Genomic DNA, 24,022 nt, shown 5'->3' with positions numbered 1-24,022 from the left:
AGCTGCTAAATTTTGGGATAATTTGCGTGCAGCAAAAGATGACTATTAAATCCAGATGTCTCACATCTGTAGGAAATGTGGTATTGCGTTTAGATCCAGAAGTTGTGGGTTTGAACCCTGGTCTCCTGTGTGATCTTTGGCAATACACTTAAACTGTTTGAGTATATCAACATCTTATGTAAAATGTAAATAATAATTTTTCCATCTGTTTCGCAGGGTTATTGTGAAGATTGAGTGAGGTTAGTGTTGAGAAAATGCTTTTGAAACTATGAAGTGTTCTACAAACATTATAGGTGTTAAAAATGAAACTGGCATGCTGACGAATGTCAGCTGTTACTGGAGTCTAGTTGAGGGCACCTGGGGACATAGGCTAGCTATTTCTCATTTCTTTGGCTGACAGAGTGATAAAAGAAGGTGCAAACCTAAGACTGAGGCTAGGTAATAAGACTCTTCATATGATATCAGGACATTTTCCTTATGGCCTGTGGGGAAACCTGCACCTTGCTGGGGGTGCAATGGGGGCCTAAGCCCCTGACTCCTGCCTCTTGGCCTGATGTCATGTGGACTTACTCTGGAGAAGGCACCCATTTTTTCCCCAGAAGATGACTTTTAGGGCCCTTATTTATTTTGGAACAAAGTCATTTTTCTGACTAGGTCTTTCATTACCTGCTTAACTTGTTGGTTCCTCAGAGTACAGATGAAGGGATTTAACAGTGGGGCAATAATTGTATTGATTAGAGACACTCCCTTGTTGACATCAACCCACTTTCCTGGAGAGGGCTTGACATACATAAAGAAGCAGCTGTCATAACACATGGTAACCATAATGACATGAGAGGAACAGGTAGAGAAAGCCTTCTTCCTCTCCTGGACAGCGGGGATTCTGACAATTGTCTGGATGATCTGGACATAGGACAGGGTGATGAGTACCAAGGTGCCAAACAGTGCTACTAAGGCCAGGGTAAAATCCACCATCTCCAGCACCTTTGGCCCACTGCAGACCACCTCCATTAGAGGCGTGTAGTCACAGAAGAAATGCTTGATGTGGGTATCACAGAATGGAAGCTGACTGGTCAGGATGACAGGCATGATGATGAAGGAGAAACCTAGTAGCCAGCAGGTGAGGATGAGCTGTGTGCAGACTCTACTACTTATGAGCATGGGGTAGTGGAGGGGCTTGCAGATGGCAATATACTGGTCATAGGCCATGGCTGTGAGGAGGAAGAACTCTGTGGCCCCCAGAAGATGTGGAAAAAGTCCTGGGTAATGCACCCAGCAAAGCTAACGGTCTTGGTCCCCATGGCAATGTTGAGCAGCATCTTGGGCACGATGACTGTCTGGAACCAAATTTCTAAGCAGGACAGATTCTGGAGAAATAAGTACATAGATGTCTGCAGGCGGGTGTCCAGCAAGGTCAGGCTGATGATGATCAGGTTCCCAGAGACAGTCACAAGGTAGGCAAGCAGCAGGAGCAGAAAAACAGCCACCTGAAGCTCTTTGGTATCCGTCAGGCCTTGGAGGAAGAACTCAGTCACCACAGTCTGATTGGCCATTGTGGACCTCAAGCCCTTTCCAGAAATGTGCAATTCTGGGCAAATAGGACCATCAGAAATTAGGATGAAAAGGGAAAAATTTCTCCTGAAATGCATCATTTCTTTCCCCCTCCCTGCTGCTTCCCCATGGATTCAGGAAAGCAGAGCAGAAGCTTCTGGAGGTTCTTCCCTAGCAAGAAAAGTTGCCTCTTTCAGAATCTGAGGAACTATTGAATGACAATGACTTTCCTGTCTCCCTCCCTTTATTCCTCCCTGTTTTTTTCTTTTATTCCTTCCGTTTTTTTCCCTCTGAGAAAGCCTACAAAGAATTTTCTGCTGCTCTTCTCAGTCCTCTTTAGAACTGTCACTCACTCATCTTTCAAAATCCAGCTCAAGTGTGACCTCTTCTATGAAGACTTTTCTGAAGTCCTAGGCTGAATTAGCTGCTTCCTCATGGCTCCCATAACATAGTTTTTGCCTCTGCTATATTCCATAGTCAGCTGTATAGGCTAGAGCCTGTCTTCTGTGCTAAACCACCAACACATTGAGCTCACAGACTTTATGTTCATCTGGGTATCTTAGCACTTACCTCCCCCTTTCCAGTAGAGGCACTGGCCTTCTCAGATCTGCATTCACAACAAAGCCTCCTAGTTTGTAAAGTATTGCTTGCATATGTAGCATGTAGTTTTGGAAGAAGAAGCCATTTTCACTTACCCTGCCATTTTCTTACACTAGATCATCATTAAAAACTGCCTGACATTTGCATCTGAACTGTAAGAGATTTGAAGATAGCGAATATCTTACTCATCCTTGTTCACTCCCCTCTCTCATATTCATTCCTGGGGCCTGGCATTTGATAGTCATCTATAGAAATGAAACCCAGTGAGGCTTATCACACTCATCTTCTGATAAGGAAGGGAAAATCCAGAGAAATTAACTATTGGTCTAAGGTACAGTGAGATTCTAAAACATAACTGGGAGCCACTTGAGTATTTTCTTGCCATGATCAGATTCACTAAGGCTCTCAGGCTTGTTATTTTATTGAGTAGAAAAGGGATTTTTTCCCCCTGGAGAAATCTGTAAAAATCTTAAGAGTGATTCACTCTCTCTTTTTTTTATTTGAGACTGATGGCCCAGAAACTCCATGGCCTATGTCACTGGTCTTTAAATGGGGAGGCTGCTCACATCATGGGATATGCCACGTGATCCACTGGGATATGAGAAGGAGATATGAGATCCTTCAAGTTATATGATATTTCATAAAATCTAGGATACAATCTAATATGAAATACACTATTATTTTATGTGCCATTAAGAAAGAAAAAAGACTGCCAAGAAGACTATGGCATTATGCTAAGATACCATTGAGTATAATATAATCTCAATCTCAAAGATGTTAAAATGGGTGTCTTGAAGTTAATGAACTATGGCATTTATCTTTAGCTCATTAAAAACATCTGTTTTTAGCATGATACTGGTATAAAAATAGGCACATAGGCCAATGGAAGAGAATAGAGAACCCAGAAATAAGCCCAGATACTTACATCCAACTGATCTTCAACAAAGCAAACAAAAACATAAAGTGAGGAAAGGACATCCTATTCAACACATGGTGCTGTGATAATTTACAAACCACATGTAGGAGAACGAAACTGGATCCTCATCTCTCACCTTACACAGAAATCAACTCAAGATGGATTAAGGACTTAAATCTAAGACCTGAAACTATAAAGATTCTAGAAGATAACATTGGAAAAGCCCTTTAGACTTTGGCTTAGGCAAGGATTTCCTGACCAAGAACCCAAAAGCAAATGCAATAAAAGCAAAGATAAATAGTTGGGACCTAATTAAACTAAAGAGCTTTTGCACAGCAAAAGGAACAGTCAGCAGAGTAAACAGACAACCCACAGAGTGGGAGAAAACCTTCACAATCTATACATCTGACAAAGGACTAATATCCAGAATCTACAAGAAACTCAAACAAATCAGTAAGAAAAAACAAACAATCCCATCAAAAAGTGAGCTAAGGACACAAATAGACAATTCTCAAAAGAATATCTACAAATGGTCAACAAACATATAAAAAAATGCTCAACATCACTAATGATCAAGGAAATGCAAATCAAAACCACAATGCAATACCACCTTACTCCTGCAAGAATGGCCATAATAAAAAAATAAAAAAACAGTAGATGTTGGCATGGCTGTGGTGAACAGGGAACACTTCTACACTGCTGGTGGGAATGTAAACTAGTACAGCCACTGTGGTAAACAGTGTGGAGATTCCTTAAAGAGCTAAAAGTAGAACTATCATTTGATCTAGCAATCCCACTACTGGGTGTCTCCCCAGAGGAAAATAAGTCATTATTCGAAAAAGATACTTGCACATGCATGTTTATAGCAGCACAATTTGCAATTGCAAAGTTGTGGTATATATATATATATATATATATATACACACAATGGACTACTACTGAGCCATAAAAAGGAATGAATTAAAGGCATTTGCAGCAACCTGGATGAGATTGGAGACTATTATTCTAAGTGAAGTATCTCAGGAATGGAAAACCAAATATCACATATTCTCACTAATAAGTGGTAACTAAGCTATGAGGATGCAAAGGCATAAGAATGACACAGTGAACTTTAGGGCTCATGGGGAAAGAGTTGGGAGGGTGAGGGATAAAAGACTACAAATTGGATTCAGTGTATACTGTTTGGGTGATGGGTGCACCAACATCTCACAAATCATCACTAAAGAACTTATTCATGTAACCAAACACCACCTGTTCCCCAATAACATTTGGAAATAAAAAATAATAATAATAAAAAACAACCAGCCTCCAAAGCTCTGTAGCTTAAAAAAGTCTGTTTTTGTGTATATTTTAAAACACAAACTATATATATAGTAGTAGTGCAAATAACTTAAACATTGATAAACATACCCATATATTGGGGATATTTTCCCAATTTTATTTTTACTGATGGGATATATGAATTTATAAAGTTTGGAGAGAATTCTTGCCTAGGGATTTGCTATCGGTCTTCCCACCTACAACCAGCCAGTGTTTGCAAAAAGGCCCATTTCTGGGGAGGAGAAGCAGTTCTTCAGCTTCAGTTTTTTTCAGCTTAAAAAGAGAGAGCTCCCACCAGGCCATAGGGAATTTGCTGAATGATTTAGAAACCTTGGTCTTGGGTGACTTCTGTGGTCTGGCAAGGCAAGCTGTGACATGCAGCTCCCTTCCTTTCTGTACAGCGACTGGTTACCTGGGAAGCAGCCTCAGAGATTCACCAGCCCAGGGAGAACACAAGCTCCTCAGATCTCTAACGATTCCCTAAAGAGGGAGCAGAGAGTTTAAAGGCCCAAATGGCCTACGTGGTTTCATGAAAAGAGCTCAGCCTTGCAGAAAAATGTGGAGGCAACTCTGTAGAAATAATTTCAGGATTAAGTTTCCATAGAAATTTGTTTTTGACTGCCTTCATTTCTCTCTGGCCTTCTCCAACCTACCTGTCCCTTCAGCAGCAACAATCCAAAAACATAGCTATCTACAGAGACAATTCTGTTGCTCAGTCAGCATCCAAACCACATAGCAGAGGGTTAGAATCTGAATTGAAGCTGGAAACCTCTTCCCCTTTTTATCATGGCGCATGATTTCCGCTGGGAATCTAAGGTTCTGAAGTTTCCGGTCATGTAAGAGGCTTCTGCACAGGTTCCATCCAAAGGAAAGGGACATTTGCTTTATAGACTCTTTTACTACAGACCCAGGGGATCAATTCAGAGGCGGGGGAACAAAAACAAACGGTGCTCAGGGAAATCTGCTCTCAGAATTCACTAATGAACTTAGAATATGGCTGCTCTGGCCTCGTAAGCAAAACAATTTGCAAAAAATCTTCAGAGAAGATGACAAAATATTTACCTAAGAACTTACCCCTAAATAAATATTTGTGTTACTGTCAGTTGTTAATAATGTAGTTGGCAACATCAATTGGGTAAATATTTTTGAGAACTGATAAGTGGAGGGGAAGGCATCAAAGACAACTTTGTCACAATTTTGGTAAGTCCAGCCACAGTCATCTATGAATGTCCAGCCTGTTCAGCAGTTTTAATTTGCATTAAAATTTTATTGCTAAAACATGCTCGGGTTTTGCACTGCACATGGGTAGCTCTGCATGGTGCGAATGTACTATGCTACATCAGAAGTCAGACAACTTAAATTTTAGTCGCAGTTCTGCTGCTAACACGGGGATCTTGCACAATTCTTTTTCCTTTCCTTAGTCTTAATTTTTCAGCTTCTAATAGCACCTTATAGCTAATAATGGCATGGTGTGAACTAGGATGTCTTTTTGTTTGTCTTAATTTCAATGTTTTCAAGCTTCAAGAGCCTTTCCTTACACTTCTTGTATTCTGGAGTGAAGAGGTTTCTGCTTACTTTTCCTATGCCCTTCCTGATCTCACCTGAAATCCATTCTCCCTTTTTGCCTGCTTTCCCTGAAGACTCTTAATCATTTCTATGGCCATGATAGAAACCATCCAAACAAAAACAAACAAACAAACAAAAAGAAACCATCCTACAATGTCTTTCTCTGAATTTTTTCTGATGTGTTTTTCTTGAGATAAAACAACTAGAAGAGGAGATGGTGTAGCAATATTACTATTGCAGATGTATACAGATAATATATAGTGTTATAAAACACTCATGAAAAGTATTTAAAAATGAACAAACTCAGTGCAACCCAAAGAATACCAAAGCCGAACTATTTAAGAATTACTGATAAAGTGCATACAGATTTCATAACAAAAGAGAAAGAAAACTGGTGGATGTGAAATACTGAACCATTCATATATTCAGCAATTCATTTAGCAAATATTTGTGGAGTTTCTGCTATACGCTAGGCATGGCAATGTTGAAGATGCTGAGATATGATTATGGGGAAGACAGAATGAAAGTCTTTTTTCATCTTTTGTTTTTAATTAATTAAAAAAATTCAACTTTTATTTTAGATTCAGAGGGTACATGTACAGGTTTGTTACATGGGTATGTTGCATGATGCTGAGGTTTAGGGTATGATTGAACCCATCACCCAGGTAGTGAGTATAGTACCTGATAGGTAGTTTTTCAATCCTTGCCTCTCTCGATTCCTCCATCCTTGTGTAGTCCTGTGTTTATTGTTCCCATCTTTATGTCCATGTATACCTGATGTTTAACTTATATGTGAGAACATGTGGTATCTGATTTTCTGTTTCTGCATTAATTCGCTTAGGATAATATCCTCCTGCTGCAGTTATGTTGCTGCAAAGGACATGATGTTGTTCTTTTCTATGGCTGTATAATATTTCATGTTATATATGTACCATGTTTTCCTTATCCACTCCACCATTGATGGGCACCTAGGTTGATTCCATATCTTTGCTGTTGTGAATGGTGCTGTGATGAACATATGAGTGCATGTCTTCTTGGTAGAACAATTTATTTTCCTTTGGATATATATACTCAGTAATGGGTATTGGGTCAAATGGTAGTTCTATTTTTAGTTCTTTGAGAAATCTCCAAACTGCTGTCCACAGTGGCTGAACTGATTTACATTCCCGCCAACAGAGTATAAGCAGTCCCTTTTTTCCACAGCCTTGCCAACATTTGTTATTTTTTTACTTGGAAAATATTTATTATAATTACCATCACTATATCAATTTAATGTAATGAATTCTACTTAGGTACATAGCAATAGAGTAAGGATTATGTATGTTCATGTCATAGTTTCAGTTTCTCTTTTTAAATTTAACTTTTATTTTAAGTTCAGGGGTACATGTGCAGGTCTGTTGTACGGGTAAACTTTGTGTCATGAGGTTTTGTTGTACAGATTATTTTGTCACCCAGGTATTAAGTCTAGTACCCATTAGTTATTTTTCCTGATCCTCTTCCTCCTCCCACCCTCCATCCTCTGACAGCCCCTAGTGTGTGTCATTCCCCTCAATGTGTCCATGTGTTCTCATCATTAGGCTTCCACTTATAAGTGAGAACATTTAGTATTTGATTTTCTGTTTCTGAATTAGCTTGTTAAGGATGATAGCCTTCAGTGCCAATCATGTTCCCACAAAAGACATGATCTTGTTCTTTTTTTATGGCTGCATAGTATCTCATGTTGTATGTGTACCACGTTTCCTTTATCTAGTCTGCCATTGATGGGCATTTAGGTTGATCCCATGTCTTTGTTATTGTGAACAGTGCTGCAGTGAACATTCATATGCACGTGTCTTTATAATAGAATGATTTATAATCCTTTGGGTATATACCCAGAAATGGGATTACAGGGTCAAATGGTACTTCTGCTTTTAGATCTCTGAGGAATTGCCACACTGTCTTCCACAATGGATGGACTAATTTACACTCCCACCAACAGTGTATAAGTGTTTCTTTTTCTCTGCAACCTTGCCAGCAAACATTATTTTTTGACTTAATGATCATAGCCATTCTGACTGGTGTAAGATGATATCTCATTGTGGCTTTGATTTGCATTTCTCTAATGATCAGTGATGTTGAGCTTTTTTCATATGATTGTCGGCCGCATGTATGCCATGCCTTCTTTTGAAATGTGTCTATTCATGTCCTTTGCCCACTTGAGGTTGTTTGTTTTTATTCTTGTAAATTTAAGTTCCTTATAGATATATATTAGACCTTTGTCAGATGCATAGTTTGCAAAAATTTTCTCCCATTCTGTAGGTTGCCTGTTCACTCTGTTGGCAGTTTCCTTTGCTGTTCTTTAGTTTAAATAGATCCCCTTTGCCAATTTTTGCTTTTGTTGCAATTACTTTTGGTGTCTTTGTCATGAAATCTTTGCTTGTTCCTATGTCCAGAATGGTATTGCCTAGGTTGTCTTCCAGGGTTTTTATAGTTTTGGGTTTTACATTTAAGTCTTTAATCAATCTTGAGTTTATTTTTGTATATGGTGTAAGGAAAGGGTCTAGTTTCAATCTTCTGCATATGGCTAGCCAGTTCCCCCAGTACCATTTATTGAATAGGGAGTCATTTTCCCATTGCTTGTTTTTGTCAGCTTTGTCGAAGATTAGATGGTTGTAGGTGTGTGGCCTTATTTCTAGGCTCTCTATTCTGTTCCACTGGTCTATGTGTCTGTTTTTGTACCAGTATCATGCTGTTTTGGTTACTGTAGCCCTATAGTATAGTTTGAAGTCAGGTGGCGTGATGCCTCCAGCTTTGTTCTTTATGCTTAGGATTGCCTTGGCTATTCGAGGTCTTTTTTGGTTCCATATGCATTTTAAAATAGTTTTTTCTGGTTCTGTGAAGGAAGCCAATGATAGTTTAATAAGAATAGCATTGAATTTATAAATTGCTTTGGGCAGCATGGCCATTTTAATGATATTGATTCTTCCTGTCTGTGAGGGTGGAATGTTTTTCCATTTATTTGTGTCATTTCTGATTTTTTTTTATTATACTTTAAGTTTTAGGGTACATATGCAAAGGTGCAGGTTTGTTACATATATATACATGTGCCGTGTTGGTGTGCTGCACCCATTAACTCGTCATTTAACATTAGGTATATCTCCTAATGCTATCCCTCCCCCCTCCCCCCACCCCAAAACAGGACCCGGTGTGTGATGTTCCCCTTCCTGTGTCCTTGTATTCTCATTGTTCAATTCCCAACTATGAGTGAGAACATGTGGTGTTTGGTTTTTTTGTCCTTGCGATAGTTTGCTGAGAATGATGGTTTCCAGCTTCAACCATGTCCCTACAAAGGACATGAACTCATCATTTTTTATGGCTGCACAGTATTCCATGGTGTATATGTGCCACATTTTCTTAATCCAGTCTATCATTGTTGGACATTTGGGTTGGTTCCAAGTCTTTGCTAATGTGAATAGTGCCACAATAAACATACGTGTGCATGTGTCTTTATAGCAGCATGATTTATAATTTTTGGGTATATACCCAGTAATGGGATGGCTGGCTCAAATGGTATTTCTAGTTCTAGATCCCTGAGGAATCGCCACACTGACTTCCACAATGGTTGAACTAGTTTACAGTCCCACCAACAGTGAAAAGTGTTCCTGTTTCTCCACATCCTCTCCAGCACCTGCTGTTTCCTGACTTTTTAATGATCGCCATTCTAACTGGTGTGAGATGATATCTCATTGTGGTTTTGATTTGCATTTCTCTGATGGCCAGTGATGATGAGCATTTTTTCATGTGTCTTTTGGCTGCATAAATGTTTTCTTTTGAGAAGTGTCTGTTCACATCCTTCACCCACTTTTTGATGGGGTTGTTTTTTTCTTGTAAATTTGTTTGAGTTCATTATCGATTCTGGTTATTAGCCCTTTGTCAGATGAGTAGGTTGTGAAAATTTTCTCCCATTCTGTAGGTTGCCTGTTCCTTTGATGGTAGTTTCTTTTGCTGTGCAGAAGCTCTTTAGTTTAATTAGATCCCATTTGTCAATTTTGGCTTTTGTTGCCATTGCTTTTGGTGTTTTAGACATGAAGTCCTTGCCCATGCCTATGTCCTGAATGGTATTGCCTAGGTTTTCCTCTAGGGTTTTTATGGCTTTAGGTCTAACATGTAAGTCTTTAATCCATCTTGAATTAATTTTTGTATAAGGTGTAAGGAAGGGATCCAGTTTCAGCTTTCTCCATATGGCTAGCCAGTTTTCCCAGCACCATTTATTAAATAGGGAATCCTTTCCCCATTGCTTGGTTTTCTCAGGTTTGTCAAAGATCAGATGGTCGTAGATATGTGGCATTATTTCTGAGGGCTCTGTTCGGTTCCATTGATCTATATCTCTGTTTTGGTACCAGTACCATGCTGTTTTGGTTACTGTTGCCTTTTAGTATAGTTTGAAGTCAGGTACCGTGATGCCTCCGGCTTTGTTCTTTTGGCTTAGGATGTACTTGGCGATGCGGGCTCTTTTTTGGTTCCATATGAACTTTAAAGTAGTTTTTTCCAATTCTGTGAAGAAGGTCATTGGTAGCTTGATGGGGATGGCATTGAATCTTTAAATTACCTTGGGCAGTATGGCCATTTTCACAATATTGATTCTTCCTATCCATGAGCATGGAATGTTCTTCCATTTGTTTGTATCCTCTTTTATTTCATTGAGCAGTGGTTTGTAGTTCTTCTTGAAGAGGTCCTTCACATCCCTTCTAAGTTGGATTCCTAAGTATTTTATTCTCTTTGAAGCAATTGTGAATGGGAGTTCACTCATGATTTGGCTCTCTGTTTGTCTGTTATTGGTGTATAAGAATGCTTGTGACTTTTATACATTGATTTTGTATCCTGAGACTTTGCTGAAGTTGCTTATCAGCTTAAGGAGACTTTGGGCTGAGACAATGGGGTTTTCTAGATATACAATCATGTCATCTGCAAACAGGGACAATTTGACTTCCTCTTTTCCTAATTGAATACCGTTTATTTCCTTCTCCTGCCTAATTGCCCTGGCCAGAACTTCCAACACTATGTTGAATAGGAGTGGTGAGAGAGGGCATCCCTGTCTTGTGCCAGTTTTCAAAGGGACTGCTTCCAGTTTTTGCCCATTCAGTATGATATTGGCTGTGGGCTTGTCATAGATAGCTCTTATTATTTTGAGATACATCCCATCAATACCTAATTTATTGAGAGTTTTTAGCAGGAAGGGTTGTTGAATTTTGTCAAAGGCCTTTTCTGCATCTATTGAGATAATCGTGGTTTTTGTCTTTGGTTCTGTTTATATGCTGGATTACATTTATTGATTTGCGTATATTGAACCAGTCTTCCATCCCAGGGATGAAGACTACTTGATCATGGTGGATAAGCTTTTTGATGTGCTGCTGGATTTGGTGTGCCAGTATTTTATTGAGGATTTTTGCATCAATGTTCATCAAGGATATTTGTCTAAAATTCTCTTTTTTGCTTGTGTCTCTGCCAGGCTTTGGTATCAGGATGATGCTGGCCTCATAAAATGAGTTAGGGAGGATTCCCTCTTTTTCTATTGATTGGAATAGTTTCAGAAGGAATGGTACCAGCTCCTTCTTGTACCTCTGGTAGAATTTGGCTGTGAATCCATCTGGTCCTGGACTCTTTTTGGTTGGTAAGCTATTGATTATTGCCATAATTTCAGATCCTGTCATTGGTCTATTCAGAGATTCAACTTCTTTCTGCTTTAGTCTTGGGAGGGTGTATGTGTCGAGGAATTTATCCATTTCTTCTAGATTTTCTAGTTTATTTGCATAGAGGTGTTTATAGTATTCTCTGATGGTAGTTTGTATTTCTGTGGGATCTGTGGTGATATCCCCTTTATCATTTTTTATTGCATCTATTTGATTCTTCTCTCTTTTCTTCTTTATTAGTCTTGCTAGCGGTCTATCGATTCTGTTGATCTTTTCAAAAAACCAGCTCCTGGATTCATTAATTTTTTGAAGGGTTTTTTGTGTCTCTATTTCCTTCAGTTCTGCTCTGATCTTAGTTATTTCTTGCCTTCTGCTAGCTTTTGAATGTGTTTGCTCTTGCTTCTCTAGTTCTTTTAATTGTGATATTAGGGTGTGAATTTTAGATCTTTCCTGCTTTCTCTTGTGGGCATTTGATGCTGTACATTTCCCTCTGCACACTGCTTTGAATGTGTCCCAGAGATTCTGGTATGTTGTGTCTTTGTTCTCGTTGGTTTCAAAGAACATCTTTATTTCTGTCTTCATTTCATTATGTACGCAGTAGTCATTCAGGAGCAGGTTGTTCAGTTTCCATGTAGTTGAGCGGTTTTGAGTGAGTTTCTTAATCCTGAGTTCTAGTCTGATTGCACTATGGTCTGAGAGACAGTTTGTAATAATTTCTATTCTTTTACATTTGCTGAGGAGTGCTTTACTTCCAACTATGTGGTCAATTTTGGAATAGGTGTGGTGTGTTGCTGAAAATAACGTGTATTCTGTTGATTTGGGGTGGAGAGTTCTGTAGATGTCTATTAGGTCCACTTGGTGCAGAGCTGAGTTCAGTTCCTGGATATCCTTGTTAACTTTCTGTCTCGTGGATCCATCTAATGTTGACAGTGGGGTGTTAAAGTCTCCCATTATTATTGTGTGGGAGTCTCAGTCTCTTTGTAGGTCTCTAAGGACTTGCTTTATGAATCTGGGTGCTCCTGTATTGGGTGCATATATATTTAGGATAGTTAGCTCTTCTTGTTGAACTGATCCCTTTTCCATTATGTAATGATCTTCTTTGCCTCTTTTGATCTTTGTTGGTTTAAAGTCTGTTTTATCAGATACTAGGTTTGCAACCCTTGTCTTTTTTTTTGTTTTCCATTTGCTTGTAGATCTTCCTCCATCCCTTTATTCTGAACCTATGTGTGTCTCTGCACGTGAGATGAGTTTCCTGAATACAGCACACTGATGGGTCTTAACTCTTTATCCAATTTGCCAGTCTGTGTCTTTTAATTGGAGCATTTAGCCCATTTACATTTAAGGTTAATATTGTTATGTGTGAATTTGATCCTGTCATTATGATGTTAGCTGGTTATTTTGCTCATTAGTTGATGCAGTTTCTTCCTAACCTCGACGGTCTTTACAATTTGGCATGTTTTTGCACTGGCTGGTACCAGCTGTTCTTTTCCATGTTTAGTGCTTTCTTCAGGAGCTCTTTTAGGGCAGTCCTGGTGTGACAAAATCTCTCAGCATTTGCTTGTCTGTAAAGTATTTTATTTCTCCTTCACTTATGAAGCTTAGTTTGGCTGGATATGAAATTCTGGGTTGAAAATTCTTTTCTTTAAAAATGTTGAATATTGGCCCCCACTCTCTTCTGGCTTGTAGAGTTTCTGCCAAGAGATCCGCTGTTAGTCTGATGGGCTTCCCTTTGTGGGTAACCCGACCTTTCTCTCTGGCTGCCCTTACCATTTTTTCCTTCATTTCAACTTTGGTAGATCTGACAACTATGTGTCTTGGAGTTGCTCTTCTCGAGGAGTGTCTTTGTGGCATTCTCTGTGTTTCCTGAATTTGAATGCTGGCCTGCCTTGCTAGATTGGGGAAGTTCTCCCGGATAATATCCTGCAGAGTGTTTTCCACCTTGGTTCCATTCTCCCTGTCACTTTCAGGTACTCCAATCAGATGTAGATTTGGTCTTTTCACATAGTCCCATATTTCTTGGAGGCCTTGTTCATTTCTGTTCATTCTTTTTTCTTTGAACTTCTCTTCTCACTTCATTTCATTCATTTGATCTTCCATCACTGATACCCTTTCTTCCAGTTGATTGAATCAGCTACTGAGGCTTGCGCCTTCATCATGTAGTTCTCGTGCCTTGGTTTTCAGCTCCATCAGGTCCTTTAAGGACTTCTCTGCATTGATTATTCCATTTGTCTAATTTTTTTCAAGGTTTTTAAGTTCTTTGCCATGGGTTTGAACTTCCTCCTTTAGCTCAGAGTAGTTTGGTTGTTTGAAGCCTTCTTCTTTCAACTTGTCAAAGTCATTCTCTGTCCAGATTTGTTTCATTGCTGGTGAGGAGCTGTGCTCCTTTGGAGGAGGAGAGGTGCTCTGATTTTTAGTGTTTCCAGTTTTTCTGCTCTGTTTTTTCCCCATCTTTGTGGTTTTATCTACATTTGGTCTTTGATGATGGTGACATACAGATGGGGCTTTGGTGTGGATGTCCTTTCTGTTTGTTAGTTTTCCTTCTAACAGTCAGGACCCTCAGCTGCAGGTCTGTTGGAGTTTGGTGGAGGTCCACTCCAGACCCTGTTTGCCTAGGTATCAGCAGCGGAGGCTGCAGAACAGTGGATATTGGTGAACAGCACATGTTGCTGCCTGATCATTCCTCTGGAAGTTTTGTCTCAGAGGAGTACCTGGCTGTGTGAGGTGTCAGTCTGCCCCTACTGGGGGGTGCCTCCCAGGTATGTTACTCAGGGTCAGGGACCCACTTGAGGAGACAGCCGGTCCATTCTCAGATCTCCAGCTGTGTGATGGGTGAACCACTACTCTCTTCAAAGCTGTCAGACAGGGACATTTAAGTCTGCAGAGGTTTCTGCTGCCTTTTATTTGGCTATGCCCTTCCCCCAGAGGTGGAGTCTACAGAGGCAGGCAGGCCTCCTTGAGCTATGGTGGGCTCCACCCAGTTCGAGCTTCCCAGCCGCTTTGTTTACCTACTCAAGCCTCAGCAATGGTGGGCGCCCCTCCCCCAGCCTTGCTGCCACCTTGCAGTTTGATCTCAGACTGCTGTGCTAGCAACAAGCGAGGCTCTGTGAGCATAGGACCCTCTGAGCCAGGTACGGGATATAATCTCCTGGTGTGCCATTTGCTAAGACTGTTGGAAAAGTGCAGTATTAGGGTGGGAGCGACCCAGTTTTCCAGGTGCTGTCTATCATCCCTTTCTTTGACTAGGAAAGGTAATTCCCTGACCCCTTGCACTTCCTGGGTGAGATGATGCCTCGCCCTGCTCACGCTCAGTGTGCTGGACCCACTGTCCTGCACCCACTGTCCGACACTCCCCAGTGAGATGAACCCGGTACCTCAGTTGGAAATGCAGATCACCCATCTTCTGCATTGCTCATGCTGGGAGCTGTAGACTGGAGCTGTTCCTATTTGGCCATCTTGGCCCCACAATCCTTTTTTTTTTTTTTTTGACAGAGTCTCTCTCTGTTTTCCAGCATAGAGTGCAGTGGCACAATCTCAGCTCACTGTAACCTCCATCTTCTGGGCTCAAATGAACTCTCCACTTCACCTTCCAGAGTAGCTAGGACTATAGGTCCCAGTGACCCCACTATTTTTTTTTTGTAGAGATGCCACAGTGCCCCCAGTATTTATTTTTTATTTTTATTTTTTGTAGAGATGAGGTCCCACTATATTCCCCAGGCTATTCTCAAACTCCTGGGCTCAAGTAATCCTCCTGCCTTGGCCTCCCATAGTGCTGGGATTCAGGCATAAGCCACACACCCAGATGGTAATAACCATTTCAACAGGAGTGAGGTGATAGCTCATGTGGTTTTGATTTGCATTTTTCTGATGATTAGTGATGTTGAACATTTTTTTTTCATATACCTGTTGTCATTTGTATGTCTTCCTTTGAGAAATTTCTGTTTAGGTCCTTTGCCTGTTTTTAAATTAGGTTATTTGTTTTCTTGCTACTGAGTTGTTTGAGTTCCTTATGTATTTTGGATATTAATCTCCTGTGAGATAAATAGTTTGCAAATATTTTCTCCCATTCTATAGATTGCCTCCTCACTCTGTTGATTGTTTCCTTCACTGTGTAGAAGGTTTTAAATTCGATGTAATTAATTTGTCTATATTTTTATATTTGTTGCTTATTCTTTTGTTGTTATATCCAATAAGTCATTACCCAGACCAATGTTATGAAGATTCCCCCCTTCGTTTTCTTCTAGAAGTTTTATAGTTTTGGGTCTTACATTTAGGTCTTCCATCCATTTTGAGTTGATTTTTGTAGGGAGAGAGGTGGGAGTCTAGTTTCATTCTTCTATATATGGACATCCAGTTTCCCCAGCACCATTTCTTGAAGAGACTGTCCTTTCCCCAAGACTGTCTTGGTGCCTTTGTCAAAATCAGTTGGCTATAGATATGTGTATTAATATCTGTGTTATCTATTCTATTCAATTGGTCTATGTGTCTGTTTTCATGCCGGTACCATGCTGTTTTTGTTACTACAGCTTTGTAGTATATTTTGAAGCCTGGTAATGTGATGCCTTTAGCTTTGTTCTTTTTGTCCAGGAGTGCTTTGCCTATTGGAAGTCTTTTGAGGTTCTATACACATTTTAAGATTTTTTTTTCTATTTCTGTGAAGAATGTCATTGGTGTTTTGATATGGATTGCATTGAATCTGTAGATTGCTTTAGGATTATGGTCATTTTAACAATATTAATTCTTCTGACCTACAAGCATGTGATATCTTTTCCATTTGTTTGTATCCTCTTTAGTTTCTTTCATCAGTGTTTTGTAGTTTTCCTTGCAGACGTCTTTCACTTCCTTCATTAAATTTATTCCTTGCTATTTTATTTTTAATAGCTATTGTAAATGGGATTGCCTTATTTATTTTTTCAGCTAGTTAGTTGTTCATGTATAGAAATGCTACTGATTTTTGCATGCTGATTTTGTATCCTACGACTTTACTTTTCAGTTCTAAGAGTTTTTAGGTTGAGTCTTTAGGATTTTTTATATATAAACAGAGACAACTTGATTTCCTCCTTTCCAATTTGAATGCCTTTCATTTCTTTCTCCTGCCTAATTACTTTGACTAGGACTTCAATTATGTGGAATGAGTGGTGAGTGTGTACTCCCTTGTCTGGTTTCAGTTCTTAGAAGAAAAGCTTTCAGTATAATGTTAGCTTCAGTATGTTAGACATTAGATTCAGTATAATGGGTTTAGTCATATAAGGCCTTTATTCTGTTGAGGTACTTTCTTTCCATACTTAATTTTTTGAGAGTTTTTATCATGAAGGGATATTGAATTTTATCAGGTATCTTTTCTTCATCTATTGAGATGATCATATGGTTTTTGTCCTCCATTCTGTTTTATATGATGAATCACATTTATTGATTTGCCTATGTTGGAACATCATTGCATTCCTGGGATACATCCCACTTAGTCATGGTGTATTATGGTTTTTTTTTTAGAATGTTATGAAATTTTTAATTTTTTAAATGTTTTTAAGAGTAAACTACTTGATAATTTTTTTTGTAATTTTTATTTTTTTTATTTTTTATTTTTTATTTTTTATTTCTTTTTATTATTACACTTTAAGTTTTAGGGTACATGTGCACATTGTGCAGGTTAGGTACATATGTATACATATGTGTCATGCTGGTGCACTGCACCCACTAACTCGTCATCTAGCATTAGGTATATCTCCCAATGCTATCCCTCCCCCCTCCCCCGACCCCACAACAGTCCCCAGAGTGTGATGTTCCCCTTCCTGTGTCCATGTGATCTCATTGTTCAATTCCCACCTATGAGTGAGAATATGCGGTGTTTGGTTTTGTGTTCTTGTGGTAGTTTACTGAGAACGATGATTTCCAATTTCATCCATGTCCCTACAAAGGACATGAACTCATCATTTTTTTATGGCTGCATAGTATTCCATGGTGTATATGTGCCACATTTTCTTAATCCAGCCTATCATTGTTGGACATTTGGGTTGGTTCCAAGTCTTTGCTATTGTGAATAATGCCGCAATAAACATATGTGTGTATGTGTCTTTATAGCAGCATGATTTATAGTCCTTTGGGTATATACCCAGTAATGGGATGGCTGGGTCAAATGGTATATCTAGTTCTAGATCCCTGAGGAATCGCCAGACTGACTTCCACAATGGTTGAACTAGTTTACAGTCCCACCAACAGTGTAAAAGTGTTCCTATTTCTCCACATCCTCTCCAGCACCTGTTGTTTCTTGACTTTTTCATGATCGCCATTCTAACTGGTGTGAGATGGTATCTCATTGTGGTTTTGATTTGCATTTCTCTGATGGCCAGTCATGATGAACATTTTTTCATGTGTCTTTTGGCTGCATAAATGTCTTCTTTTGAGAAGTGTCTGTTCATGTCCTTCGCCCACTTTTTGATGGGGTTGTTTGTTTTTTTCTTGTAAATTTGTTTGAGTTCATTGTAGATTCTGGTTATTAGCCCTTTGTCAGATGAGTAGGTTGCGAAAATTTTCTCCCATTTTGTAGGTTGCCTGTTCACTCTGATGGTAGTTTCTTTTGCTGTGCAGAAGCTCTTTAGTTTAATTAGATCCCATTTGTCAATTTTGGCTTTTGTTGCCATTGCTTTTGGTGTTTTAGATATGAAGTCCTTGCCCATGCCTATGTCCTGAATGGTAATGCCTAGGTTTTCTTCTAGGGTTTTTATGGTTTTAGGTCTAATGTTTAAGTCTTTAATCCATCTTGAATTAATTTTTGTATAAGGTGTAAGGAAGGGATCCAGTTTCAGCTTTCTCCATATGGCTAGCCAGTTTTCCCAGCACCATTTATTAAATAGGGAATCCTTTCCCCATTGCTTGGTTTTCTCAGGTTTGTCAAAGATCAGATAGTTGTAGATATGTGGCGTTATTTCTGAGGGCTCTGTTCTGTTCCATTGATCTATATCTCTGTTTTGGTACCAGTACCATGCTGTTTTCGTTCCCGTAGCCTTGTAGTATAGTTTGAAGTCAGGTAGTGTGATGCCTCCAGCTTTGTTCTTTTGGCTTAGGATTGACTTGGCGATGCGGGCTCTTTTTTGGTTCCATATGAACTTTAAAGTAGTTTTTTCCAATTCTGTGAAGAAAGTCATTGGTAGCTTGATGGGGATGGCATTGAATCTGTAAATTACCTTGGGCAGTATGGCCATTTTCACAATATTGATTCTTCCTATCCATGAGCATGGAATGTTCTTCCATTTGTTTGTATCCTCTTTTATTTCCTTGAGCAGTGGATTGTAGTTCTCCTTGAAGAGGTCCTTCACATCCCTTGTAAGTTGGATTTCTAAGGTATTTTATTTTCTTTGAAGCAATTGTGAATGGGAGTTCACTCATGATTTGGCTCTCTGTTTGTCTGTTGTTGGTGTATAAGAATGCTTGTGATTTTTGTACATTGATTTTGTATCCTGAGACTTTGCTAAGTTGCTTATCAGCTTAAGGAGATTTTGGGCTGAGACAATGGGGTTTTCTAGATATACAATCATGTCATCTGCAAACAGGGACAATTTGACTTCCTCTTTTCCTAATTGAATACCCTTTATTTCCTTCTCCTGCCTAATTGCCCTGGCCAGAACTTCCAACACTATGTTGAATAGGAGTGGTGACAGAGGTCATCCCTGTCTTGTGTGAGTTTTCAAAGGGACTGCTTCCAGTTTTTGCCCATTCAGTATGATATTGGCTGTGGGTTTGTCATAGATAGCTCTTATTATTTTGAGATACATCCCATCAATACCTAATTTATTGAGAGTTTTTAGCATGAAGGGTTGTTGAATTTTGTTGAAGGCCTTTTCTGCATCTATTGAGATAATCATGTGGTTTTTGTCTTTGGCTCTGTTTATATGCTGGATTGCATTTATTGATTTGTGTATATTGAGCCAGCCTTGCATCCCAGGGATGAAGCTCACTTGATCATGGTGGATAAGCTTTTTGATGTGCTGCTGGATTTGGTGTGCCAGTATTTTATTGAGGATTTTTGCATCAATGTTCATCAAGGATATTTGTCTAAAATTCCCTTTTTTGCTTGTGTCTCTGCCCGGCTTTTGTATTAGAATGATGCTGGCCTCATAAAATGAGTTAGGGAGGATTCCCTCTTTTTCTGTTGATTGGAATAGTTTCAGAAGGAATGGTACCAGCTCCTCCTTGTACCTCTGGTAGAATTCGACTGTGAATCCATCTGGTCCTGGACTCTTTTGGTTGGTAAGCTATTGATTATTGCCATAATTTCAGATCCTGTTATTGGTCTATTCAGAGATTCAACTTCTTCCTGGTTTAGTCTTGGGAGAGTGTATGCGTCAAGGAATTTATCCATTTCTTCTAGATTTTCTAGTTTATTTGCGTAGAGGTGTTTGTAGTATTCTCTGATGGTAGTTTGTATTTCTGTGGGATCTGTGGTGATATCCCCTTTATCATTTTTTATTGCATCTATTTGATTCTTCTCTCTTTTTTTCTTTATTAGTCTTGCTAGTGGTCTATCTATTTTGTTGATCCTTTCAAAAAACCAGCTCCTGGATTCATTAATTTTTTGAAGGGTTTTTTGTGTCTCTATTTCCTTCAGTTCTGCTCTGATTTTAGTTATTTCTTGCCTTCTGCTAGCTTTTGAATGTGTTTGCTCTTGCTTTTCTAGTTCTTTTAGTTGTGATGTTAGTGTGTCAATTTTGGATCTTTCCTGCTTTCTCTTGTGGGCATTTAGTGGTGCTATAAATTTCCCTCTACACACTGCTTTGAATGCGTCCCAGAGATTCTGGTATGTTGTGTCTTTGTTCTCGTTGGTTTCAAAGAACATCTTTATTTCTGCCTTCATTGCATTATGTGCCCAGTAGTCATTCAGGAGCAGGTTGTTCAGTCTCCATGTAGTTGAGCAGTTTTGAGTGAGATTCTTAATCCTGAGTTCTAGTTTGATTGCACTGTGGTCTGAGAGATAGTTTGTAATAATTTGTGTTCTTTTACATTTGCTGAGGAGAGCTTTACTTCCAAGTATGTGGTCAATTTTGGAATAGGTGTGGTGTGGTGCTGAATAAAATGTATATTCTGTTGATTTGGGGTGGAGAGTTCTGTAGATGTCTATTATGTCTGCTTGGTGCAGAGCTGAGTTCAATTCCTGGGTATCCTTGTTGACTTTCTGTCTCGTTGATCTGTCTAATGTTGACTGTGGGGTGTTAAAGTCTCCCATTATTAATATGTTGGAGTCTAAGTCTCTTTGTAGGTCACTCAGGACTTGCTTTATGAATCTTGGTGCTCCTGTATTGGGTGCATATATATTTAGGATAGTTAGCTCTTCTTGTTGAATTGATCTGTTTACCATTATGTAATGGCCTTCTTTGTCTCTTTTGATCTTTGTTGGTTGAAAGTCTGTTTTATCAGAGACTAGGATTGCAACCCCTGCCTTTTTTTGTTTTCCATTTGCTTGTAGATCTTCCTCCATCCCTTTATTTTGAGCCTCTGTGTGTCTCTGCACGTGAGATGGGTTTCCTGAATAGAGCACACTGATGGGTCTTGACTCTTTATCCAATTTGCCAGTCTGTGTCTTTTAATTGGAACATTTAGTCCATTTACACTTAAAGTTAACATTGTTATGTGTGAATTTGATCCTGTCATTATGATGTTAGCTGGTTATTTTGCTCATTAGTTGATGCAGTTTCTTCCTAGTCTTGATGGTCTTTACATTTTGGCATGATTTTGCAGCAGCTGGTACCGGTTGTTCCTTTCCATGTTTAACACTTCCTTCAGGAGCTCTTTTAGGGCAGGCCTGGTGGTGACAAAATCTCTCAGCATTTGCTTGTCTGTAAAGTATTTTATTTCTCCTTCACTTATGAAGCTTAGTTTAGCTGGATATGAAATTCTGGGTTGAAAATTCTTTTCTTTAAGAATGTTGAATATTGGCCCCCACTCTCTCTGGCTTGTAGAGTTTCTGCCAAGAGATCTGCTGTTAGTCTGATGGGTTTCCCTTTGAGGGTAACCTGACCTTTCTCTCTGCCCTTAACATTTTTTCCTTCATTTCAACTTTGGTGAATCTGACAGTTATGTCTTGGAGTTGCTCTTCTGGAGGAGTATCTTGGTGGCATTCTCTGTATTTCCTGAATCTGAACATTGGCCTGCCTTGCTAGATTGGGGAAGTTCTCCTGGATAATATCCTGCAGAGTGTTTTCAACTTGGTTCCTTTCTCCCCATCACTTTCAGGTACACCAGTCAGACATAGATTTGGTCTTTTCACATAGTCCCATATTTCTTGGAGGCTTTGCTCATTTCTTTTTATTCTTTTTTCTCTAAACTTCCCTTCTTGCTTCATTTCATTCATTTCATCTTCCATTGCTGATACCCTTTCTTCCAGTTGATCGCATCGGCTCCTGAGGCTTCTGCATTCTTCATGTAGTTCTCGAGCCTTGGTTTTCAGCTCCATCAGCTCCTTTAAGAACTTCTCTGTATTGGTTATTCTAGTTATACATTCTTCTAAATGTTTTTCAAAGTTTTCAACTTCTTTGCCTTTGGTTTGAATGTCCTCCCATAGCTCAGAGTAATTTGATCGTCTGAAGCCTTCTTCTCTCAGCTCGTCAAAGTCATTCTCCATCCAGCTTTGTTCCATTGCTGGTGAGGAACTGCGTTCCTTTGGAGGAGGAGAGGCACTCTGCTTTTTAGAGTTTCCAGTTTTTCTGTTCTGTTTTTTCCCTATCTTTGTGGTTTTATCTACTTTTGATCTTTGATGATGGTGATGTACAGATGGGTTTTTGGTGTGGATGTCCTTTCTGTTTGTTAGTTTTCCTTCTAACAGACAGGACCCTCAGCTGCAGGTCTGTTGGAGTACCCTGCTGTGTGAGGTGTCAGTGTGCCCCTGCTGGGGGGTGCCTCCCTGTTAGGCTGCTCGGGGGTCAGGGGTCAGGGACCCACTTGAGGAGGCAGTCTGCCTGTTTTCAGATCTCCGGCTGCGTGCTGGGAGAACCACTGCTCTCTTCAAAGCTGTCAGACAGGGACATTTAAGTCTGCAGAGGTTACTGCTGTCTTTTTGTTTGTCTGTGCCCTGCCCCCAGAGGTGGGGCCTACAGAGGCAGGCAGGCCTCCTTGAGCTGTGGTGGGCTCCACCCAGTTCGAGCTTCCTGGCTGCTTTGTTTACCTAAGCTCGCCTGGGCAATGGTGGGCGCCCCTCCCCCAGCCTCACTGCCATCTTGCAGTTTGATCTCAGACTGCTGTGCTAGCAATCAACGAGACTCCGTGGGCGTAGGACCCTCAGAGCCAGGTGCCAGATATAATCTCGTGGTGCGCTGTTTTTTAAGCCCGTCGGAAAAGCGCAGTATTCGGGTGGGAGTGACCCAATTTTCCAGGTGCCATCTGTCACCCCTTTCTTTGACTAGGAAAGGGAACTCCCTGACCCCTTGCACTTCCGGAGTGAGGCAATGCCTGGCCCTGCTTCAGCTCGCGCATGGTGCATGCACCCACTGACCTGCGCCCACTGTCTGGCACTCCCTAGTGAGATGAACCTGGTACCTCAGATGGAAATGCAGAAATCACCCATCTTCTGCGTTGCTCATGCTGGGAGCTGTAGACCGGAGCTGTTCCTATTCGGCCATCTTGGCTCCTCCCTATGTTTTTGATATATTGTTTGATTTTGTTTGCTAGTATTTTGTTGAGGATTTTTGTGTGTATGTTCATCAGGAATATTGGCCCATGGTTTTTTTTTTTCTGTGTTCTTTTCTGGTTTTGGAATCAGGGCCTCAGGGAATAAGTTGGGAAAAGTTCTCTCTGCATCAACATTTTGGAATAGTTTGAGAATAGCTGATATTAATTTTTCTTTAAATGTTTGGTAGAATTCAGTTTTGAAGGCATCTAGTTCTGGACTTTTCTTTGTTGGGAGACTTTTTATTATTACTGATTCAATCTTGTTACTTGTTCATGTCTGTTCAGGTTTTCGGTTTCCTCTAGGCTCCATCTCAGTAGGTTGTATGTGTTGAGGGATTTATCCATTTACTTTTGATTTTTGAATTCATTAGCATATAGTTGTTCATTGCAGTCTCTAATGACCCTTTATATTACTGTGTTTCTCTTGTGAGGGCTCCTTTTTCATTTCTGATTTTACTTATTTGTGTTTTCTCTTAATTTTTCTGTCCAGCTAAAGGTTTGTGAATTTTATCTTTTCAAAAAACCAACTTTTTGTTTTGTTGATCTTCTGTATTTTTTTAGTCTCAATTTTATTTATTTCTGCTTTGATCTTTATTAATTCTTTTTTTAGAACACATTTTATTTTTATTTATTTATTTATTTTCCACTCAATGGGTTATTGGTGGTACAAGAGGTATTTGGTTACATGAGTAAGTTCTTTAGTGGTGATGTGTGAGATTTTGGTGCACCTATCACCTGGGCGATAACA

The 24,022-nt window shown here is 39.6% G+C and overlaps 1 pseudogene, besides 1 other annotated feature; it reads right to left on the bottom strand.

The window, feature by feature from the left end:
• Positions 622-1,553, bottom strand: OR6U2P (olfactory receptor family 6 subfamily U member 2 pseudogene; annotated as a pseudogene).
• Positions 22,361-22,921: an enhancer, noted in NCBI's record as "H3K27ac-H3K4me1 hESC enhancer chr12:55984039-55984599 (GRCh37/hg19 assembly coordinates)". NCBI's record gives its function as "activates a minimal SCP1, AML or CMV promoter by ChIP-STARR-seq in naive H9 embryonic stem cells {active_cell/tissue: H9 hESC(naive)}" and the evidence as "EXISTENCE:reporter gene assay evidence [ECO:0000049][PMID:30033119]".

Source organism: Homo sapiens, chromosome 12, assembly GCF_000001405.40.
Source record: "Homo sapiens chromosome 12, GRCh38.p14 Primary Assembly".
NCBI classification, from domain to species: domain Eukaryota; kingdom Metazoa; phylum Chordata; class Mammalia; order Primates; family Hominidae; genus Homo; species Homo sapiens.
This window is presented reverse-complemented; position numbering and strand designations above follow the sequence as displayed.